Source organism: Homo sapiens, chromosome 22 (assembly GCF_000001405.40).
Source record: "Homo sapiens chromosome 22, GRCh38.p14 Primary Assembly".
Lineage (NCBI taxonomy): Eukaryota > Metazoa > Chordata > Mammalia > Primates > Hominidae > Homo > Homo sapiens.
In genome coordinates this window covers 19,478,297-19,497,938 of record NC_000022.11, presented here as the reverse complement: position 1 = coordinate 19,497,938, position 19,642 = coordinate 19,478,297, and the positions used below count along the sequence as shown (strand labels likewise).

At 45.6% G+C, this 19,642-nt stretch overlaps 2 protein-coding genes across 18 annotated transcripts in view, besides 3 other annotated features; one reads left to right on the top strand and one right to left on the bottom strand.

Annotated features, from left to right (window-relative positions):
- The window catches only part of CDC45 (cell division cycle 45), a 41,147-nt gene extending 22,674 nt beyond the window's left edge, over positions 1–18,473 (bottom strand). For 3 of the 13 annotated variants that reach the window (XM_047441531.1, XM_047441532.1, XM_047441533.1), the window contains exons 1-9: positions 18,368–18,473; positions 17,920–18,113; positions 17,722–17,781; positions 16,894–16,986; positions 15,112–15,249; positions 13,934–14,077; positions 3,557–3,612; positions 1,910–1,958; positions 492–553 (exon numbers count right to left, since the gene is read on the bottom strand). In XM_047441531.1, coding sequence (XP_047297487.1) covers positions 492–553; positions 1,910–1,958; positions 3,557–3,612; positions 13,934–14,077; positions 15,112–15,249; positions 16,894–16,986; positions 17,722–17,781; positions 17,920–17,970 — 653 coding nt within the window. In that variant the 5' untranslated portion in view covers positions 17,971–18,113; positions 18,368–18,473. Of the gene's footprint in view, positions 1–491; positions 554–1,909; positions 1,959–3,336; positions 3,499–3,556; positions 3,613–13,933; positions 14,078–15,111; positions 15,250–16,893; positions 16,987–17,721; positions 17,782–17,919; positions 18,114–18,367 lie in introns of those variants that run through there. The other 10 variants (NR_161281.1, NM_003504.5, XM_011530417.4 and 7 more) reach the window with 7 other exon arrangements.
- Positions 18,070–18,119: a silencer, noted in NCBI's record as "silent region_13463". NCBI's record gives its function as "represses an Ori minimal core promoter by ATAC-STARR-seq in GM12878 lymphoblastoid cells {active_cell/tissue: GM12878}" and the evidence as "EXISTENCE:reporter gene assay evidence [ECO:0000049][PMID:35858748]".
- Positions 18,210–18,509: an enhancer, noted in NCBI's record as "active region_18660". NCBI's record gives its function as "activates an Ori minimal core promoter by ATAC-STARR-seq in GM12878 lymphoblastoid cells {active_cell/tissue: GM12878}" and the evidence as "EXISTENCE:reporter gene assay evidence [ECO:0000049][PMID:35858748]".
- UFD1 (ubiquitin recognition factor in ER associated degradation 1) overlaps positions 18,746–19,642 on the top strand; it is a 29,283-nt gene continuing 28,386 nt past the window's right edge. For 4 of the 5 annotated variants that reach the window (XM_047441488.1, XM_047441487.1, NM_001035247.3 and 1 more), the window contains exon 1: positions 18,746–18,856. In XM_047441488.1, the coding sequence (XP_047297444.1) occupies positions 18,854–18,856 (3 nt within the window). In that variant the 5' untranslated portion in view covers positions 18,746–18,853. Of the gene's footprint in view, positions 19,115–19,642 lie in introns of all 5 variants that reach the window. The other variant, NM_001362910.2, reaches the window with a different exon arrangement.
- Positions 18,910–18,979: a silencer, noted in NCBI's record as "silent region_13462". NCBI's record gives its function as "represses an Ori minimal core promoter by ATAC-STARR-seq in GM12878 lymphoblastoid cells {active_cell/tissue: GM12878}" and the evidence as "EXISTENCE:reporter gene assay evidence [ECO:0000049][PMID:35858748]".

Here is a 19,642-nt window from a genome sequence, read left to right as displayed (position 1 = left end):
ATTACAGGGGTGAGCCACCATGCCCAGACAATTTTTTTTTTTGAGACAGGGTTTCACTTCATTGCCCAGGCTAGTCTCAAACTCCTGCACTCAAGTGATGCTCCTGTCTCGGCCTCCCAAAGTACTGGGATTACGGATGTAGAATTAAGGATGTGAGCCACTGCAAAGGCTGCCTCCTTCAAATCTCACACTCCTCCTGTCACTTGACTTTACTGAGTACAGGCTGAGCAGCAGGAGTGGGGAAGGTGAAGCTGTACTGTATTCTCTTCCTCTGCATTCTCCGACACTCCAAGTCCCATGTTTGTGTGAAGCTCCCAGGGCTTCACAGTTAGGAAAAAGACCAAAATCACACACATACCCAGAAAGGGGCTGCATCTGACACTCCTGGTGGGGACAAGGGAAACACCCTCCCTGTGGGAGGACAGAGCTGCTTATGTGGCACTGACCAAGGCAACAAATACTCCCACACAGCTGCCGCAGGGGCTACGTACCACAGCATGTCATTCAGGTCCTTGGACAGCATCCAAGCCAGCTCAAACATCACCATGGCTGACTGTAAGGAAGCAGAGAAGTCTAAGGCTCATGGGAGGGGCATGTGCTGGGGCTGGGCCATGCAGCCAGACTGGACTTGAGCCAGAAGGGCCCTGGCAAACCCCTGCGGATGGAGGGTCTACCTGGCCAGGGCATGTGGGTGGATTCCAGCCCGACATGTGGGATGAGTACACGCTAAACTGAGAAGAGGAAGACTGAAAGTAACTCCTTTGCTACCTAAAATCATTACTGTCTGTATATTTTATCCTGTAGCAAGGGAAGAATTCACTTGGTAGGGGCAGCCCGGGTGCAGCACTGGCTGGGGCCTCTTTGTATCTCCCTGTGTTCCTCAGTGATGCCCAAGGCAGGCACTGAATCCCAAAGGCCAGGAGACCCCATCATTTGCCTGGCTCTGCATCCGCACACTCCTCCTGCTTGGCTGGCGTCCTCAAACACATTCCCAGGAAGGCCAGGTGAGGCAGAGCCCTGGGTCCAATTATTTGAATATTAAAGAGGGAGGGGCCTCAGCACCTCTCTTTCCAACAGGGCTGTCCACATCGGAGCATTTAACTCCCATAAGCAGAGGGTCTCTATTTGGTAAAAGACCTTGAGGAAGACTGGTGTCTGACCAGAAGACCCTAAGATCCCCTTTGCCGTGAGATGCGGGCTTCCTCCAGGGAGAGAATTTCCAAGGGAACTGGCCCCATATATCTGGAGGGAGTTATCTTCTCTAAGTGAGCATCAGCACCCTCCCCACCAACTGTTTAGAATTTTCCATTAGCAAGGACTGAGCAGAGACAGCAAAAGGATGATCCTTCAAAGGACAATGGAACCTTGACAATAAAAGGGACACTGGAAATACGGTGCTTAGAGTTCAAGGTCCCAGTATTAAATTCTAAGACTAAATACAGGATGTTTTATTGAAACTTATTTTCTAGGGCTCCTTAAGGCCTTGAGCTCTGCTCAACACTATTGACATAGTAGGTTTTCTACACTAAATTCTGTTTTGTAAAAGACACACACTGATGGGCCATTATAAGTCTATAGCGTTTTATCTTCTCGCACAGAGACTGGTACAAACTCATTCTGTGTTTTTGATGAACAAAAATAAACGCTGCTCTTCTTTGATCACCTATTGGGTGCAAACGACCATTTTAATAATTACCTCTGAAATGAGGATTATTCTCTTTACAGAGGAGGAGATGTTTAAGGCTCAGAGAGCTTGCAACACCTGCCCAAGGTCACACAGGGGGAAGACATGGAGCTCAGATTCAAACCAGGCTTTTGTGGCTCTAAAATCTACGTTTCTTCTTCACATTTGAGGACACTGACCCCTGGAGTCAGAACTTTATAGTGAGTTCCACCTATTCATACTTACCGATGTCCCATGATATTCATACTGCTCGTAGTCAAAGAGGATGTCTCTTCTGTAATGACATAAAATGCAGGTCTTCAACAGGAAGTAGCAGTACAGGAAGCCAAATATTTTGGAAAAATGCTAAACTTGACAGTATTCAATGAAATGCAAATTAAATCATGGTACTATTTGTTTTCACATATTGACTCTTGGTTTTTTCTTTTTTGTTGAGACAGGTTCTTGCTATGTCTCCCAGGCTGAAGTGCAGTGGTGTGATCACAGCTCACTGCAGCCTTGACATCCTGGGCTCAAGTGATCCTCCTAACTCAGCCTCCTAAGTAGATGGGGCTACAGGCATGTGCCACTACACCCAGCTAATTTTAAAAAAATTTTTTAATAGAGACAAAGTCTCACTATGTTGTCCAGGTTGGTCTCAAACTCCTGGGCTCAAGCAGTCCTTCCACCTTGGCTTCCCAAAGTATTGGGATTATAGGCATGAGCCACAACACCTGGCCACTTATTGACTCTTTAGCAGAATGTATATGTGTAACGTTGGGAAATTAACACAAACTGCCAGTGGCAATGTATGATGTAAAGTGGTATAGTTCAGAATTCCATTTCAGAGAAATTGTCCCATAATTACAATTCAAAGGAAAAAGCAAGACAAAACTTGCTGTGTGCACAAAGTAATTCACTGAAGCCTTATTTATAATGGCAAAATATTGGAAGTAACCTACATTTCAAAAAGAAGGGAAACTGCCAATTAAGTACTAGGCTGTTTAGAAAGCCTGTTCAGAACTATTTTAAATGGTTATATTAAGTAGAAAGATGCAAAATCAGATGTATCATGTAAAATATGCACAAGTATGTATAACCCAGGAATAGAAACCCAAACCCAGAATCTCTTTTAATTAGGCAGTGTGATTATGGATTATTTTCACTTTTCTTTCCTTATGCTTCCTGAAATGGTTTTATATTATCCTTTTTTGGTTTGTTTTTAGAGACAAGGTCTCGCTCTGTCACCCAGGCTGGAGTGCAATGGCACAATCATAGTTCACTGCAGCCTTGAACTCTCCTGGATTCTCCTGCCTGGGCCTCCCAAAGTGTTGGGAATACAGGCATGAGCCACCACACCTGTCTTACGTTGTCCTTATCCGAGGGGGCAGCCTTCCTCCTGTGGCAGCGGCAGGAGTGCATGCCCTCAGCTGAAACAGGGGGAACATCAGCTGGATGGCCTGGGAGACCTTCCATGAGAGATCCAGCAAGGGCTTCCCCCGGGACCCACCTCAAGGGCGCTGCTGCATGCTCACTTCAAGCTAGAATAACCTTTCCAATATTTTCATTTTAGAGCACTTCTTATAAATAATTTGTAAATCAAAGTATCTACATTGGAAAAACTTGATAAAAATAAAGAGCCAGGGCCATGGTCTCTAATGGATGGCATGTACCTGGGAGACCTTGGGGCTGTCCTGTCACTCATGGGACCGGCGAACAACCTGGAGCTCTTCTCCAATGCAGCGGCCACAGGTTCACTCCCAGAGCCACTGGCCCAAAGGTTCTAAACTCAATAAATTATCCTGAGACAGGAAGTCAGAGGTATGGGTGGCACCACAGACCCCCAGGCAAGTGGGCTTCTGGTGCTGGGAGCAGCTGGAAGCACAGACTCACCTCCGGGCCTCCCACTCTCGCCGCTGCCTCCTCCGCATGGTTTGCTCCACTATCTCCTGATACAGGGACAAAGAGAACAAAAGGTGGAGCAAATGCACCAGGAATTTATCCCCACAGCCCAAGAAGGTTCCAATTTGGCAGAAGTCAGTAGGCCCAGACCCCTGAGAGAGAACACGGTCACACCAGTGCCCCGAGCACAGCCTGTTCCTACGGAAGAGAGGCATGGAGGCAAGGGATGGCTGTGACCCCTTCTGGCTCCCAGCTCTCCAGACACCATGGGCAGAAAGAGTAGGGGCTTCCCAAGCACCTGCTCCAGGCAAAACTGTGTTCATCCACCCTAGCTGCTGTCACCCACAGCACTATGGGATCCAAGGTAAGCTCACACCCACTTTGTACCAGCTTCCACATCAGGATGGATGAGAGCTAACATTTCTTATATTCTACCATGCGTTAGGAACTATTCTAATGTTACAGGCACAACCTCGTTTAATCTTCACAACAAAGGCCTGGAATAATGTGGTAGGTTTAGAAATCCATGGTCCCGAGACTCCTGCTTCTGGGAAAATGGAGTAGATATGTTTTTCCCCATACATTCATTAAATATACCGAAAACCCTTCGACATCATAGATCAAACAAAGTAAGGCTGGGCGCAGTGGCTCACGCCTGTAATCCCAGCACTTTGGAGACAGGCGGGCGGATCACATGAGGTCAGGAGTTAAAGACCAGCCTGGCCAACATGGTAAAACCCCGTCTCTACTTAAAATACAAAAATTAGCCGGGCGTGGTGGCACATGCCTGTAATCCCAGCTACTTGGGAGGCTGAGGAGGAAAACTGCCTGAACCCAGGAGGTGGAGGTAGCAGTGAGCCGAGATTGTGCCACTGCATTCCAGCCTGGGTAACAGAGCAAGACTCTGCCTCAGAAACATACAAACAACAACAACAAAAAAAAAAAAACAAAGTAAGACTCTGAAAGGTAGAGGTGAAGGCAGAGCAGTTAGGGACTCTGGGACATGAGGAACAACACAGTGTTCCTTGAGTTTTCCTTCTGGTTCATATATGCCAGAGTTGGAGCTGAAAAGCCAGCAACCTAGAAATACCAACAGGTGCAGACAACAAAACAAAACAAAACAAAACAAAACAACAAAAAAAAAAACCCACAAAAGCTGCTCTGTCTAGTCAAAGGACTGGGAAGGAGCAACCTCCCAAGACAGAAAGCTTTTAGGCAGTAGCCCATCTACTCTAGCCAACACCACCAAGAACATCCATATCCACCCCAGCAAAGGCCCAGTGGGAGCCTAGGCTCCCATCCTTGCGAAGCTGTAGCAAGGCACCCCAAGCCCTCTGTCTGGTGGTATCAGAGAGGCCAAGGAGGGAACTGAGACTGCAACCCCTGCTGGTTGGTGACAAGTCCACACCCCACCTCTGGGTGGGAGAACCAATGGTGGGAGAACCCAGACTTCCACCCCCACCTTCTAGTAATGAGAAATTCCTCCCCTCCCTGCTAGGAGGGTAAGAGGCAGCAAAGTGGGAAGCCTGGACCTTCACTGCCCCAGGTGATAGACATCAGGTGGGGAACCTGATCTTTTACCTCTACCTGGCATCACTCACTCTCCTTGCTTGAGCCGTGTCAGAGAAAGCCAACTAAAACAGAAGACTTAAAGAAGACACGAAATCTCATCACATAATACAAAAATCTCCTGGTTTCATTTGAAGATTACTCATCATACCAAGAACTAGGATGATCTCAAAATGAATGAAAAAAGAAAACCCACCGATGCCAACAGCAAGATGACAGAGTTGTTAGAATTATCTGCCCAAGATTTTAAAGCAGCCATCATAAAAATGCTTCAACGAGCAATGACAAACGATTGAAACAAATGAAAGCCGGGAAGCCTCAGCAAAGAAATAAGAGATCTAAAGAAGAGACAAGTGTTCTAAACAAAGTTTAAGAAAGAAAGAAAGAAAATATATATATATAGAAGAAAGTTTAGAACTGAAAAATACAACTGGAATATTAACTCAGCAAATAGGCTCGAGAGCAGAATGAAGGGGACAGAGGGAAGAATTAGTGAACTGGCAGAAAGACAGAAATTACCCAGTCTGAACAACCGAGAAAAAATAGACCAAAAAAACTAGAACCTCTGGGACTTGTGGGGCTACAACAAAAGAGCTAACATTCACGTCATCAGTGCCCTGGAGGAGGAGAAAGAGGGTGCACTGAAAACACACTTGAAGACATAATGGCTGAAAATTTGGCAAAAGACATAAACCTGCTGGCTGGGTGTGGTGGTTCACACCTATAATCCCAACACTTTGGGAGGCCGAGGCGGGCAGATTGCTTGAGGCCAGGAGTTTGAGACCAGCCTGGCCAACATGGAAAAACCTCATCTCTACTAAAAATACAAAAAAAGTAGCCAGGCATGGTGGCACATGTCTATAATCCCAACTACTCAGGAGGCTGAGGCAGAATTGCTTGAACCCAGGAGGCAGAGGTTGCAGGTCCTCCAGCCTGGGAGACAGAGTGAGACTCTGCCTCAAAAAAAAAAAAGACATAAACCTGCAGATTCAAGAAGCTGGGTAACGGGAGGTGGAGGTTACAGTGAGCTGAGATCGTGCCACTGCATTCCAGCCTGGGTGACAGGGCAAGACTCTGTCTCAAAAAAATAAGAGAAACAAATAGGATAGACACAAATCCACACCAAGACACATCCTAACATCCTAATTAAACTTCTGAACACTCAAACAAAACCAAAATATCTCAAAAACAGCCAAAGAAAAATAAGACTTTCATGATAGGGATAAAGCCTGAATGACAGAGGATTTCTCATGAGAAATCACGGCAGCCAGAGTAAGTGGCACAGTATTTTCCAAATGCTGAAAGAAAATAAGTATTAACCCAGAATTCTACATCCAGTAAAAGTACCTTTTAGGAATAAAAAAAAAAAAATCAAGAAATTCTCAAAGATGGAAAACTAAGGGAATTTATCTCCAGTAGCTCTCCCCCAAAGGAACGGTTAAAGGAGACTCTTAAATAGAAAGGAAATGGAAAAGAAACCTTAGAATACTGGAAAGGAAGAAAAAAATACAGTAAGCAAAAATGAGGTAAATACAATAGGCTTTCCTTACTTATCCTCTTGAGTTTGTAATTATGCTTAATTACTGAAGCAAAAATTATAACACTGTATATGTGGAGGAAATATTTAAGAAAATTATATTATAAATGGGGCAGAGTAAAAGACATTAAGAGAAGACAAGGCCAGGCACAGTGGCTCATGCTTGTAATTCCAGCACTTTGGGAGGCTGAGGCAGGTGGATCACTTGAGGTCAGGAGTTTGAGACGAACCTGGCCAACAGAGTGAAAACCATCTCTACTAAAAATACAAAAATTAGCCGGGCATGGTGGCACACACCTGGGGTCCCAGCTACTCGGGAGGCTGAGGCAGGAGTACTGCTTGAACCCGAGAGGTAGAGGTTGTAGTAAGCTGAGATTGTGCCACTGCACACCAGCCTAGGTGACAGAGTGAGACTCCACCTCAAAAAAAAAAAAAAAAGAAGATAAGGTTTCTACATGTGACTCAACTGGTAAAATGATGATACCAGTAGACTGTGATAAGTTATGGATATGTAATGTAATAACCTGAAACAACCACTAAAAAATCTATACAAGGAGATAGACTCACAAACACTAGAGGAAAGAAAAAGAAAGAAAACAGGCTGGACGCAGTGGCTGTAATCCCAGCACTTTGGGAGGCTGAGGTGGGCGGATCACCTGAGGTCAGGAGTTTGAGGCCAGCCTGCCCAACAAGGTGAAACCCCATCTCTACTAAAAATACAAAAAATTAGCTGGGCGTGGTGGCACGTGCCTGTAGTCCCAGCTACTCAGGAGGCTGAGGCAGGAGAATTGCTTGAACCTGGGAGGCAGAGGTTGCAGTGAGCCAAGATCGCGCCACTGCATTCCAGCCTGGGCAACAGAGCGAAACTCCATCTCAAAAAAATAAAAATACAAATAACAAAGAACAAGAAAAAAATAGAATAAAAAAAACAGAGACCAGGAAACAGAAAATAAAATGTCAGACTTAAGCCCTAACATGTCAGTAACTAAAATAAATGTAAGTAAGCTAAGTTTATCAATTAAGAGATAGAGAATGGCTTTAAAAAACATGATTTAAAAATATGAGCCAACTGTATGCTGTTTTAAAAAATTCACTACAAATGTAACAATATAGGCAGAATGAAACTAAAGAATGTGAAAAGATATATCGTGCAAACATTAATCAAAGGAGAGCAGGAGTGGCAATATTAATATCAGATAAATCACACTTCAGAGCAAAGCAAATTACCAGAGACAGAGTGGGACACTAAGTGAATAAAAGGGTCAATCCACCAAAAGGACACCACAATCCTAAATGTGTGCGCACAAGAGAGCTATAAATACGTGAAGTAAAAAGTGATAGAACTGGAAGGAGAAACAAACAAATCTATAATCAGAGTTGGGGTCTTCAATGTCCCTTTCTGAAGAGTTGAAAGTATTACTAGCCAGAAAAGCAGCAAGCAAACAGAACTCAACACCACCACCAACTCTCAGTATGTAAGTGACATTTCTAAAAAACTCTACCCAACAACAGCAGACTATGCATTTTTTTGACTGACTGCAAATGATACTGTATTTTAAATTTTGGTGTCCACGTATTTATGGCTAGCACGCAGAAATAATAAATATTGTTTGTTTTTATGCAGGTATAAATCTAACAAAAACAGAAAATTTATACACTGAAAACTGCACAATGCTGATGGACGAGAAAGGAATGAGCCATTGATACAAGCAAACATGGATGAATCTCCAAGAATTATGCAGAGCGAAAAAAAGCCAATCCCAAAAGGCTACATACTGTATAATTCCATTTCCATTTCCATAATATTGTTGAAATGAAATTACAGAAATGGAGCTCTCTAGTGGTTACCAGGCAGCAGACAAGTGGGTGTGGCTATAAAAGGGCAACAGAGGGATCCTTACAGTGCTGGAAATGTTCTGTATCTTTTTTTTTTTTTTTAAAGCAATACCCATGGGTTATTTTGGCAGTTTCTGAATGCATAAATGGAATAGACATATTCAGTTTCTGGCAGAACTTTCACAGTGATTTCTAACCTTTAGAGTGCCAACTGAAAAATCACATGATTTATAAATTTAGAAAGGAGACTTTCTTTTCTTTAGAGATAGTCTCAGTTGCCCAGGCTGGAATGCAGTTGTGTGCTCACAGCTCACTGCAGCCTCGACTTACTGGGCTCAGGTGATTCTCCCACCTCAGCCTCCCAAGTAGCTGGGACCATAGGTGTGCACCACCACACCTGGCTAATTTTTGTAGTTTTTGTAGAGACAGGGTTTTGCCATGTTGCCCAGGCTGGTCTCCAACTCCTGGGCTCAAGTGATCCGCCTGCCTTAGCCTCCCATCCTGACCGTGATATTATACTACAGGATTTTACCATTGGGGGAAGCTGGGCAAAGTATATAAGTGATCTCTCTATATTACTTCTTACAACTACATGTGAATCTGTAATTATCTCAAAAGAAAAACTTTAATTAAAAAAAAGCCATGGTCCTGGTGAGGAAACTTTTTGCGGGTAATGGAATTGTTCTCTATCATGGTGGGATGGTGGTTGCATCTTTATACATTTGTTAAATCTCATTGAATTGTACCACCTAGTGAATTGTGTAGACATTATGCCTCAATAAAGTAACAAAATTCCCACAGCCTGAGATTTCTTTGACCCTGCCACAATGCATGGTGGGGTCCTGTCCCCTCCCTTGTGGCTACTGGATGCTGAGGTACTCCAAGGCTGGTCGGGAGAGCCATGCAGTGGCTGCCCGGGTGACTGGAATATTCATGCTGGAAGCCTGAGCAGTCATGTTGTAAGGAAGTCACATTCAATGGAGAGACCCTGCAGGTGCTTGGCTCAGTAGTCCTGGTTTGGAGCCCTCCCAGCAGATGTCTGAGCCATGCTTCCAGTTCTTAGCCATTGAGTCCCCACCTGAGGGCCCAGATATCACAGATCAAAAAGATGTCATCCTCACTGGGCTCTGCCCAAATTCCTAACCTACAGAATCCATGAGCATAAGGAAAAGGTTGTTTTAAGCTGCTAGGTTCTGGAGTAATTTGTTAAACATCAGTAGGAACCAAAACAATTAAGTCTAGTTATTCTCCTTATTTTACAATGGCACACAGAGGTTAAGTCACTTGCCTACAGTCACAAAGCTGTTATAGCAGATACAAAATTTGAAACCCGTGACCTGAGCCACGATATTATAGCACCTGTAGATTAAGTATAATTATGGTTATTTTTATAGCGGACTCTCATCTTTGCTGGGGTCCAGCTCTAACATCCAACCTTTAAAAGACAAGTAAAAATGATTCTCGACCCCATGTCTCCTCTTTTCTTTACAGCAGAACTCTTTTTTTTTTTTTTTTTTTTTTGAGACGGAGTCTTGCTCTGTTGCCCAGGCTGGAGTGCAGTGGTGGATCTCAGCTCACTGCAGGCTCTGCTTCCTGGATTCACACCATCCTCCTGCCTCAGCCTTCTGAGTAGCTGGGACTACAGGCTCCTGCCACCATGCCCGGGAAATTTTTTGTATTTTTAGTAGAGATGGGGTTTCACCGTGTTAGCAGGATGGTCTCAATCTCCTGACCTCGTGATCCACCCACCTCGGCCTCCCAAAGTGCTGGGATTACAGGCGTGAGCCACCACGCCCGGCCTATAGCAGAACTCCTTAAAACAATTATTTATAACCTATTGTCTCTAAACCTCTTTGAATGTGCACCCTTATTAATAAAAATATTTCATTCTTTTCTTTTTAAGAGATGAGGTCCTGCTCTGTTGCCCAGGCTGGAGTGCAGTGATGTGATCATGGATCACTGCAGCCTCAACCAACCTCCTGGTCTCAAGGCATCCTCCCACTCTAGCCTCCCAAGTAGCCGGGCCTATGTGACCATGCTACCATGCCTGGCTAATTTTTATTTTATTTTTCTGTAGAGACAGTGTCTTGCTATGTTGTCCAGTCTGGTATAAATATTTCTTTTTTTTTTTTTTTTTTTGAGACAAGAGTATTGCTCTGTCGCCCAGGCTGGAGTGCAGTGGCGTGATCTTGGCCCACTACAACCTCCGCCTCCCAGGTTCAAGCAATTCTCCTGCCTCAGCCTCTCGAGTAGCTGGGATTACCGGCATCTGCCATTGCTCCTGGCTAATTTTTGTATTTAGTAGAGACAGGGTTTCTCCATGTTGGTCAGGCTGGTCTCAAACTCCTGACCTCAGGTGATTCACCCGCCTTGGCCTCCCAAAGTGTTGGGATTACAGGCTTGAGCCACCACACCAGGCTGGTAAAAATATTTCTAAGAATATACCTCTAAAAAGCAGCCGGGCACGGTGGCTCACGCCTGTAATCCCAGCACTTTGGGAGGCCAAGGTGGGAGGATCATGAGGTCAGGAGATCGAGACCATCCTGGCTAACACGGTGAAACCCCGTCTCTACTAAAAATATAAAAAATTAGCTGGGCGTGGTGGCAGGCACCTGTAGTCCCAGCTACTTGGGAGTCTGAGGCAGGAGAATGGCATGAACCCAGGAGCTTGCAGTGAGCCGAGATCGTACCACTGCACTCCAGCCTGGGCGACAGAGCGAGACTCCGTCTCAAAAAAATATATATATACCTCTAATATACACATACTTAGTTATAAATCATGCACAGGTTTTAATTATATAAAAAGTATTCTTCTCAAGAATGCTTAATGTTATTAAAATCAACGCTCTAGACCTAATTTACAGATCATAGAAAATGCAGGGATAGAGAAGCAAGTTAAAGTACTCCATGAAGAAACAAGTAGTAGTAAATATTAGAAAAGAGAACTGGCCTTCAATGTCATTAAAAACAAAAGAAAAAAAAGAGGTAAGGTATGGTTCTAGGTTAAGACAGTAAAGAGGAATAGCTAAATGTCTTAATCTTGATTGGAGAATAGTTCAGAAATAAAAATAGCTGCAAAATATATTTTGAGGACAATTAAAGAGACCTGAATATGGGCTGAATATTACATGATATTAGGATATTATTAATTTCTTATGTATGACAATGGCATTGTGTTTATGGGGAAGAATGTCCTTATTCTTAGGAGCTGCTTATGAAAGAATGTGTAGAATATCATGGTTTCTGGCTGGCTGTGGCAGTGCATGCCTGTAATCCTAGCTACTTGGGAGGCTGAGGCAGGCGAATCGCTTGAACCCAGAAGACAGAGGTTGAAGGGAGCCGAGATCGTGCCACTGCACCCCAGCCTCAGTGACAGAGTGAGACTCCATCTCAAGAAAAAACAAAATAAAAAATAAAAAAGAATATCAGTTTCTGCAATCTATTCTCAAATAATACAGAAAAAAGAATACACAGAAAGAAAGCAAATGTGGCAAATGTGAAAAACTGTTTTTGTTTTTTTTGAGACAGGTTCTCTTCATGTTGCCCAGGCTGTTCTCAAATTCCTGGGCTTCATCAATCCTCCTGCCTTGGCCTCCCAAGTAGCTGAGACCACCTACAGTCATGATCCACTGTTGACTCTAGATTGAAGGTACATGGATATTCACTGTACTATCCTTTCAACCACTGTATACATTTCAAAAAATTTCAAAATAAAAAGTTGGTGGGAAATTATGCCTATTATAATCCATGAATATTATGTTAAACATTTACAAACACAAATTCCAAATTGATGTGTTAAGTATGTAAAAGGAAACGCTGATTATTTTCCTGTATCTCATCAAGACAACCTACCTTCTCTTTATTGCCAAACCCACTGGTCTGTTCTCATTTGCCTGTTCCTTTGGCACTGCTGGCCAAGCCTTCCTTGAAACTTTCCTTCCCACCTCAGAGCTGCAGTGTCTATGGATGCTCTGCCCAGGAATCCTCTTGGCTCCATCCCCTGCTAACTCATGTTTGATACCTGAAAGCTTTCCCTAATTGTGCTCATTTACATGATCAGTATCTGTCTCCCCCAATGGAAAGCTTTGCAAAGGCAGGACTTTGCTCTCATACCCGCACCCCAGGGCCTAACTGGTACCTGGCACATAGTAAGTGCTTAAAAAATATTTGTTTATTAGTCAGAGTGGAAAATTCCAAGACTTATCTGTAGAACATGAATGTTTCCCGGGAAATCCCATTGGATACTGACATTTGGGAACCAATGAAATGCAGCTCATCGATAGTTAAAAGAATGCTATATAAAAAAAAATTCAGAGAACAAAAAGGACCCCTCACAAACCAAAGATTAGAAGATAAAGACCAAGCTGAGTGTAGTGGCATGTGCTTAGTCTCAGCTACTTGGGAGGCTGAAGTGGGAAGATCGAGTGAGCCCGAAGTTTGAGGCCAGCCTGGGAAACAGAGAGAGACCCCGTCTGGGGAAAAAACAAAAAAAAAACAAAAAACAAAAAGTCTTCCAAAAAATAGAACAAAGAGCTGGGCAAGAGGTAAGAAAATATAACAGTGGGTCCAAGAGGTTCCCTATGAGACACCCAAACCTAGTGAAAGGGGTGACAAAGGTGAGAAAGAAGAGAGAAGCATGCCTCAGTTTGAAGGGCATTGCCCCTTCCCCAAATGAAGAATGTCTTGAACATCTCAAATATGGCTCAAAAAGGCTTCCCAAAAGCACATTACCGGGAAATGTCAGGCTGAGGATGAAGGGAAGACCCTAGAACATTACGGGGGCAAATTCTAGGTCACACACCAAGATCAGGAGCCAGAGGCCATCTTCAAAAGCATCACGTGGCCCTCCGTGCTATGGGAACAACCACCTTCTGCCTGTCATTTTACATCTTGCAGAAGCCGTAGTGTTGGGTAGGCCACTGGGCCCAGCCCCAGATCACTAAGCAGCTCAGACCCAAGGTCCACATGGTGAAAACCACTGGTATCTTCACATACAAGATACCTCCCCTGCAGTAATTGTCTGGGACTGGGCCTGGCCAAGGGATGCAGACCCACATTGCTCCTCTGCAGTGACTGCATAGTAAGTGATGCTAGAAGACAGTAGAAAAGGAAGGGGTGGGGGTTACACTATTTATTGCTTCTCTACATTATTTTTTTGCTATCTAGCCGCAGAGCTGAGCTGTCCTAAATTTCATTTCTTCTGACAGGATCCTATTGGACAGATAAGCCACTATTTAGGGAAGTCCAGTAACCTGCCTGAGGCCACATAACCAGGGGACAGCAGAGCCCAGGGTCAGCATCCATGCCTGCTAACTTTTCCACTTCCCACTGCCCTCAGTACACCTTGGCCTGGCAGGCTTCAGGATGACCTCCGACCTCTGGGAGTGCAAGTTCCTCTGGGATAGCTGTGAGAGACCCAAACTCACCTCTTCTAACCGTGTGCGCTTCTCAGAAGGCTCTGACCCATCACTGTCATTTCCTGAATGCTCTTCATCCTCCTCTTCATCCCTGAAGATGTCTTCATAGGCGGGAACTTCAAGGTCATCATCTTGTTTAATGAGTAATTTGATCTAAGTTCAAAACAAAAAGGAATTAAGCCTCTCCTCTTTCTACGGAAAACTATACAATATGTTCTTCTGCAGAATCTTATCATTTCCTAATAAGCTGACTCAGTTTCCTGTTCATACAAATAGCTACCTATTTAACAAGAGTTCCAGGCTTCTAAGGAATTTTCTTGTTTTCATTACCAGTGAGGCACCAGAGTTACACCATACGTGGTATGCAGAAATTATGAAAATCTGAAAACAGTTCTTTGAGAACCATCTAGTCTACTTAAGTCTGGAAACACAGCATCCTCTTACGTCATACACCAATAAAATGAACGCCCCACAACTTGGCCTCTGTCTGATATAGGACATGAAGATGTGTAACCCCTAAGTGGTGACTAAAACTCCTGTCTGAAAGCAACTCCAGGCTGATTTTTCTTTTCTTTTTTTTTTGGAGACGGAGTCTCGCTCTGTCGCCCAAGCTGGAGTGCAGTGGCACGATCTCGGCTCACTGCAAGCTCTGCCTCCTGGGTTCATGCCATTCTCCTGCCTCAGCCTCCTGAGTAGCTGGGACTACAAGCGTCCAACACTATGCCTGGCTAATTTTTTGTATTTTTAGTAGAGACGGGGTTTCACCATGTTAGCCAGGATGGTCTCAATCTTCTGACCTCGTAATCCGCCTGCCTCGGCCTCCCAAAGTGCTGGGATTACAGGCGTGAGCCACCGCGCCCAGCCAAGACTCCATTTCAACAAAAATAAAAACAAATATTTGCTGGGCGTGGTGGCATGTGCCTGTAGTCCCACCTACTAAGGAGGCTGAGGCAGGAAGGGTCAGTTGAACCCAGGAGTTTGAGGCTGCAGTGAGCCATGATTGTGCCAGTGTACTCCAGACTCTCCTTAAAAAAAAAAAAAAAAGATGACAAAGACCAAGTTCTTGTGTTCAGGCTGTTCCCAGTCCCACAGGGTAGTCAGACACACACCTTACCAAGAACACCAGGTGAGACATTGTACATGGCATAAAAAGTACAGACAGTTTGAGGGCATAGCACAAAAAGTACCTGGGTATCGTTGTATACATTGACGACATTGACTGGCCTATGGGTGTCACACACAAAGAATATAGTGTCTTCATCAGGTTGAAGAATATCCAATAGGTCTACATTAGCTCCACAGTTTATGAGAATAAAATAATGAAACTGAAAAAAAGGAAGATATTGTAAAGTAGCTATATCGAGGAGGCCCCTTTTCCTTCATCACTAAGCCTCTGAGTTGTTCTGCTTAAACTCACTCAGTCCCTGACATGTGGCGAGGCCCACGTGGCAAGGGACTCCAAAAAATGGCCAGGCTGGCATGCTAAGTGCTTTAGCATGGTGACACAGCAGGGTGGGCCCTGGGGCTCCCAGTTTTCCCCAGGAGCACGCTGAGACTCAGCAAGCCCAAGTCTCGTGGACAGGCTCAAGAAACTAATGAGGAGCAGACCAAGACTTCGAGCACGTGATTGGGTCTCTCCAGACCTCACAGTACTATGCTGCGTGCCTCTCCAGGCTAATGGCATCGTACAGGTTTAAGTTTTTAGCAAATACTTTATGGGTACTTAAATATTAAGTCCTTTATCACACTCTATCACTATAGCACTTTCTTTCCTTATAAATACCAAGCTGGTGCGGGTCCTTGACATAATAACAGGAACATCAGGAGAGGATTTGTCTCTGCCAAAACAATCCTAGATATGGCTAGGGACTCCAGGGACCCTCTTCCATGTCCCATCCCCTCTCTGTGGGGTGTACAATGTCCCATCTCTCATTTGGCCCCATGCAGAGGTGGGAGGAATCCTGGCATCTATTGTTTAAATTTATTCCTGGATTTTAAGTTGGAAACCAGGATGCATTTTCTCAGAGAAATAACATAAAATAGTAGTGTATTCTAAAATAATTTTAACTAATTCCAGCACTTTGGGAGGCTGAGGCAGGCGGATCACTTGAGGTCAGGAGTTCGAGACCAGCCTGGCCAATGTGGCGAAACCCCGTCTCTACTAGAAATACAAAAATTAGCCAGGCGTGGTGGTGGGCACTTGTAATCCCAGCTAGTTAGGAGGCTGAGGCAGGAGAATCGCTTGAACCCAGAAGGCGGAGGTTGCAGTGAGCCAAGATTGCACCATGACACTCCAGCCTGAGTGACAAAGCGAGGTTCCGTCTCAAAAATAAATAAATAAAGGCTGGGCGTGGTGGCTCATACCTGTAATCCCAGCACTTTCGGAGGTGGGCAGATCACAAAGTCAGGAGATCAAGACCATCCTGACTAACATGGTGAAACTCCGTCTCTACTAAAAATACAAAAACATTAGCCAGGTGTGGTGGCGGGTGCCTGTAGTCCCAGCTACTCAGGAGGCTGAGGCAGAAGAATGGCATGAACCCAGGAGACACAGCTTGCAGTGAGCCGAGATCGTGCCACTGCACTCCAGCCTGGGCGACACAGCGAGACTCCGTTTCAAAAAAAATAAAAAATAAAAAAATAAACCAAAATAAAATAAAATAATTTTAACTAGACCATATTAAAAACTGCTAGATTCCAAGCACCTTACAATCAAATTTCTGCAAAACAAGTTAAAACAAGTTCAAAGTTGGGGCTATCCACATTCATTATCTTTTTTTGCTGTCAATTTTGCTTCTACAACTTGGGCGTGGTAAGTCACCAGTAAATACAGCATGTTTTTCTCTTCCATATTGCCTAATGTAGCTGATACTTAAATACACGCTTAATCTATCGTGGAAATAGAATGCTGTGTCAAGAAATTACAATTGAGTAAAAAGCCACGTTATTCTAAAACGCATCTTCAATACCTGTTCTTTATGCTCAAGAAATGCAGTTTCAAGTTCTTGCCACCCAGAAACTGGAACCAGCGTATATTGCACGTGGTCACACTGGAACAAGGCCTGGAGAGAGAGTGTTTTCAAAGCCTATCTTATTTAGGACATTAGCAATTTACCTTGAAAAGAAACTGAGGAAGATTAGACGGGTTGAGAGACAAAAGACACGGGATAACATTAAAGCTAGTGAAATGCTTACGGGAAAAGCTAGGTGCTAGGGATATGAGCGTTTACCATACCATTCTGTGAATTTTGCAAATTACCAAAGTAAAACATCGGGGAGAAATGCCGATTTAACTTCCAGGCCTTCTGAAAAGTTCCTGATCCAAGGGCCTGACCAAAACAACGTAAATACTATGCCCTATTCAAAACCAAACTAACGATCTTCCCTAATAGACTAGGGGCTCCCATATTCCCAGCAACACCTGTGACACGACTATACCCACAGTTGTCACAGATTCCTCTCTCTCAAATCCCCCATTTGAGAGGCCACGACAGATCCAAAGTTTCCCCCAAATGCAACTGCTGTGTTCACCTATTAATATTAATAGCTTATTGCAAAAATACAAACTAGTCTCTTTACCTTTTACTTAATCCTTTATCCCACCCCACACCGTTGGGACAGGGAGGCAACCTCTCCTCCGAGTCTCTCTCCTCTCACTTGCTGTTCACCTCCTGCCCTGCTCCCTCTCCCACCCTAAGCCCTCAGCACCCATCCTGACACTCTGCCCGCCCTGCGCCCCCACGCAGCACCCTCACCTCGCGCGCCGGCCCCGCCCTCCTAGGGTCCGCAGAACTCACCTGAAGGATCTTGCACGCACACAGAGCATCCACGTCCGAGGCCACGAAGAGAAGGACCCTCTATCGGGGAAGAGCAGACCGGCTGAACACGGCGACCCGAACCCCGGCCCTCCCCTGCCTCCCGGTCACCCACGGTCGCTCCCCCTCATCCCTTCCCCACCGGCAAGGCCTCGGCGGGGGTCCCGGACTGGGCGTCACCTGGCTCTGGACCACCTCGTAGAACTCTTTGCGGAAATCGGACACGAACATAGCCACGGCGGCCGGACGCCTGGCGCTCGCGCTGAGGTACCAAGAGCCCGGCGGCGGTCAAGACTCCCGCCAAATCACGGCTCCTCCGATTGGTCCAGGGATCACCAACCAATAGCTTCTTAGTTCCCAGCCTTCCTTTCTTTCTGATTGGGCCACATTGGAGGCGGCCATTAGCGCTCTGCCATTCACGGCCAGAAAACTCCAGCCCGCCCCCAAAGAAGCGTCACCTCTGAGGCCGAACGCAAACACTGTTGCCCCCTTCAACTCTGACTCGCTTTTACCCAGAAAAGCGACGCTGGGCGGACATCTTTACTTTGGGAAGAGAAGCCTACTGCCTCCCACTGGGAACCCTCAGGGAAAGTATACTTCTAACCATACATTAAACTCAGTCACATACCCAATGGGGCAGCATTTACGTTTGCAATAGGTTTTTGGTGTGGTTTGAAGAAGGATTTGTAGCTTAGTTCCGCCCGAGTCCTCGATGGCTGAAGCAGAGGCAGTCTGGGTAGTGCATTGTGGGTAGTGTAGTCGTAAGGACAATGGGCCCTACTAAATTCGTCTGGAGGGGAATACTGTCAACACGTAATTTAAAATAACGTTTAAAAATACCTATAAAAGGGGAAATAAATCACGAAAGGGCATTTTAATGCTTCTACTGAGGGTGTTTTAGAGCCTAGCGTCTTCGCCTGGCCTTTTCTCTTTTGCAGCCGACGCTTTGTCCCGGGCACCCCCCCTCCGGGTCTCGGGTCCGGCACTTCCGGTGAGCCTCTGGGGCGTACCGGCTTGGCGCGGCGGCAGCGGCAGCGGCGGCTGGGAGAGCGGTCGGCGGGGTTTCTTCGTTGCATTGCCTGAGAGGAGCGGAGTCTGCCAGGTGGTGTCCATCATGGTAAGCGCTGACGGGCAGCGGGCGGGGGCTGGGCCTTGGCCCGGGGCCTGAGGTAGGGCCCGGCGGGGCAGGGCGGGGCGGGACGGCGGCGGAGGTGCCGAGTCACCCGGGCCTGAGTCCGGCCTGCAGGCTCATCGGCCGCACCGGGCACAAGCAGGACCCTTGACCACTAACCGCCTGTGGTCGCGTCCGCCGGTCCTGAACGTGGCTCGCATTCTGTCTCAGCCGGACTTGCCCTCCTTGACGAAAGAAAGGAAGGTTTGTGTCCATTCACGGGTTTCCCAAGTGCTGGACGCGCAACAGGTTTCCATAAACCCAAAGTTAGTTGCAAGGTTGCTGGGGATGGGAACAGAATCAGGGCGCTCCCCAGGGAGAATCCGTAGTGGGCATCCCCCGCTCTTGGGGGACACCCAGCTCTTGCCCCAGCTCCGTGAGCTCCGTGCCTACGGGTTCGTGCCTTCGAATCTGTACAGCGGTGTTGTGTTCGGTAATGATAACGATGGAAGCTAATACCTGCTGGTACATTTCCTGTTACACAGCTTTTAACACCTGTACTCCCTCATCGCGGCTTATTTCTTTTAATCCCTACAATCCCTTTGGAAGCAAGGATGATGATGATTTTAAACATGAGAAAACTAACGTTTACAGAGGTACTTTATTCGAGTCACAGAAGTAGGGACTGGAGAGTTGAAGCCAAGTCTGTCTGGCTGCAAAGCACTCTACGGTATTGTCTTCCTGTCACCTGTTTATTTTAGTAAAGACAAGGAATGATTGTTAGATTTTATC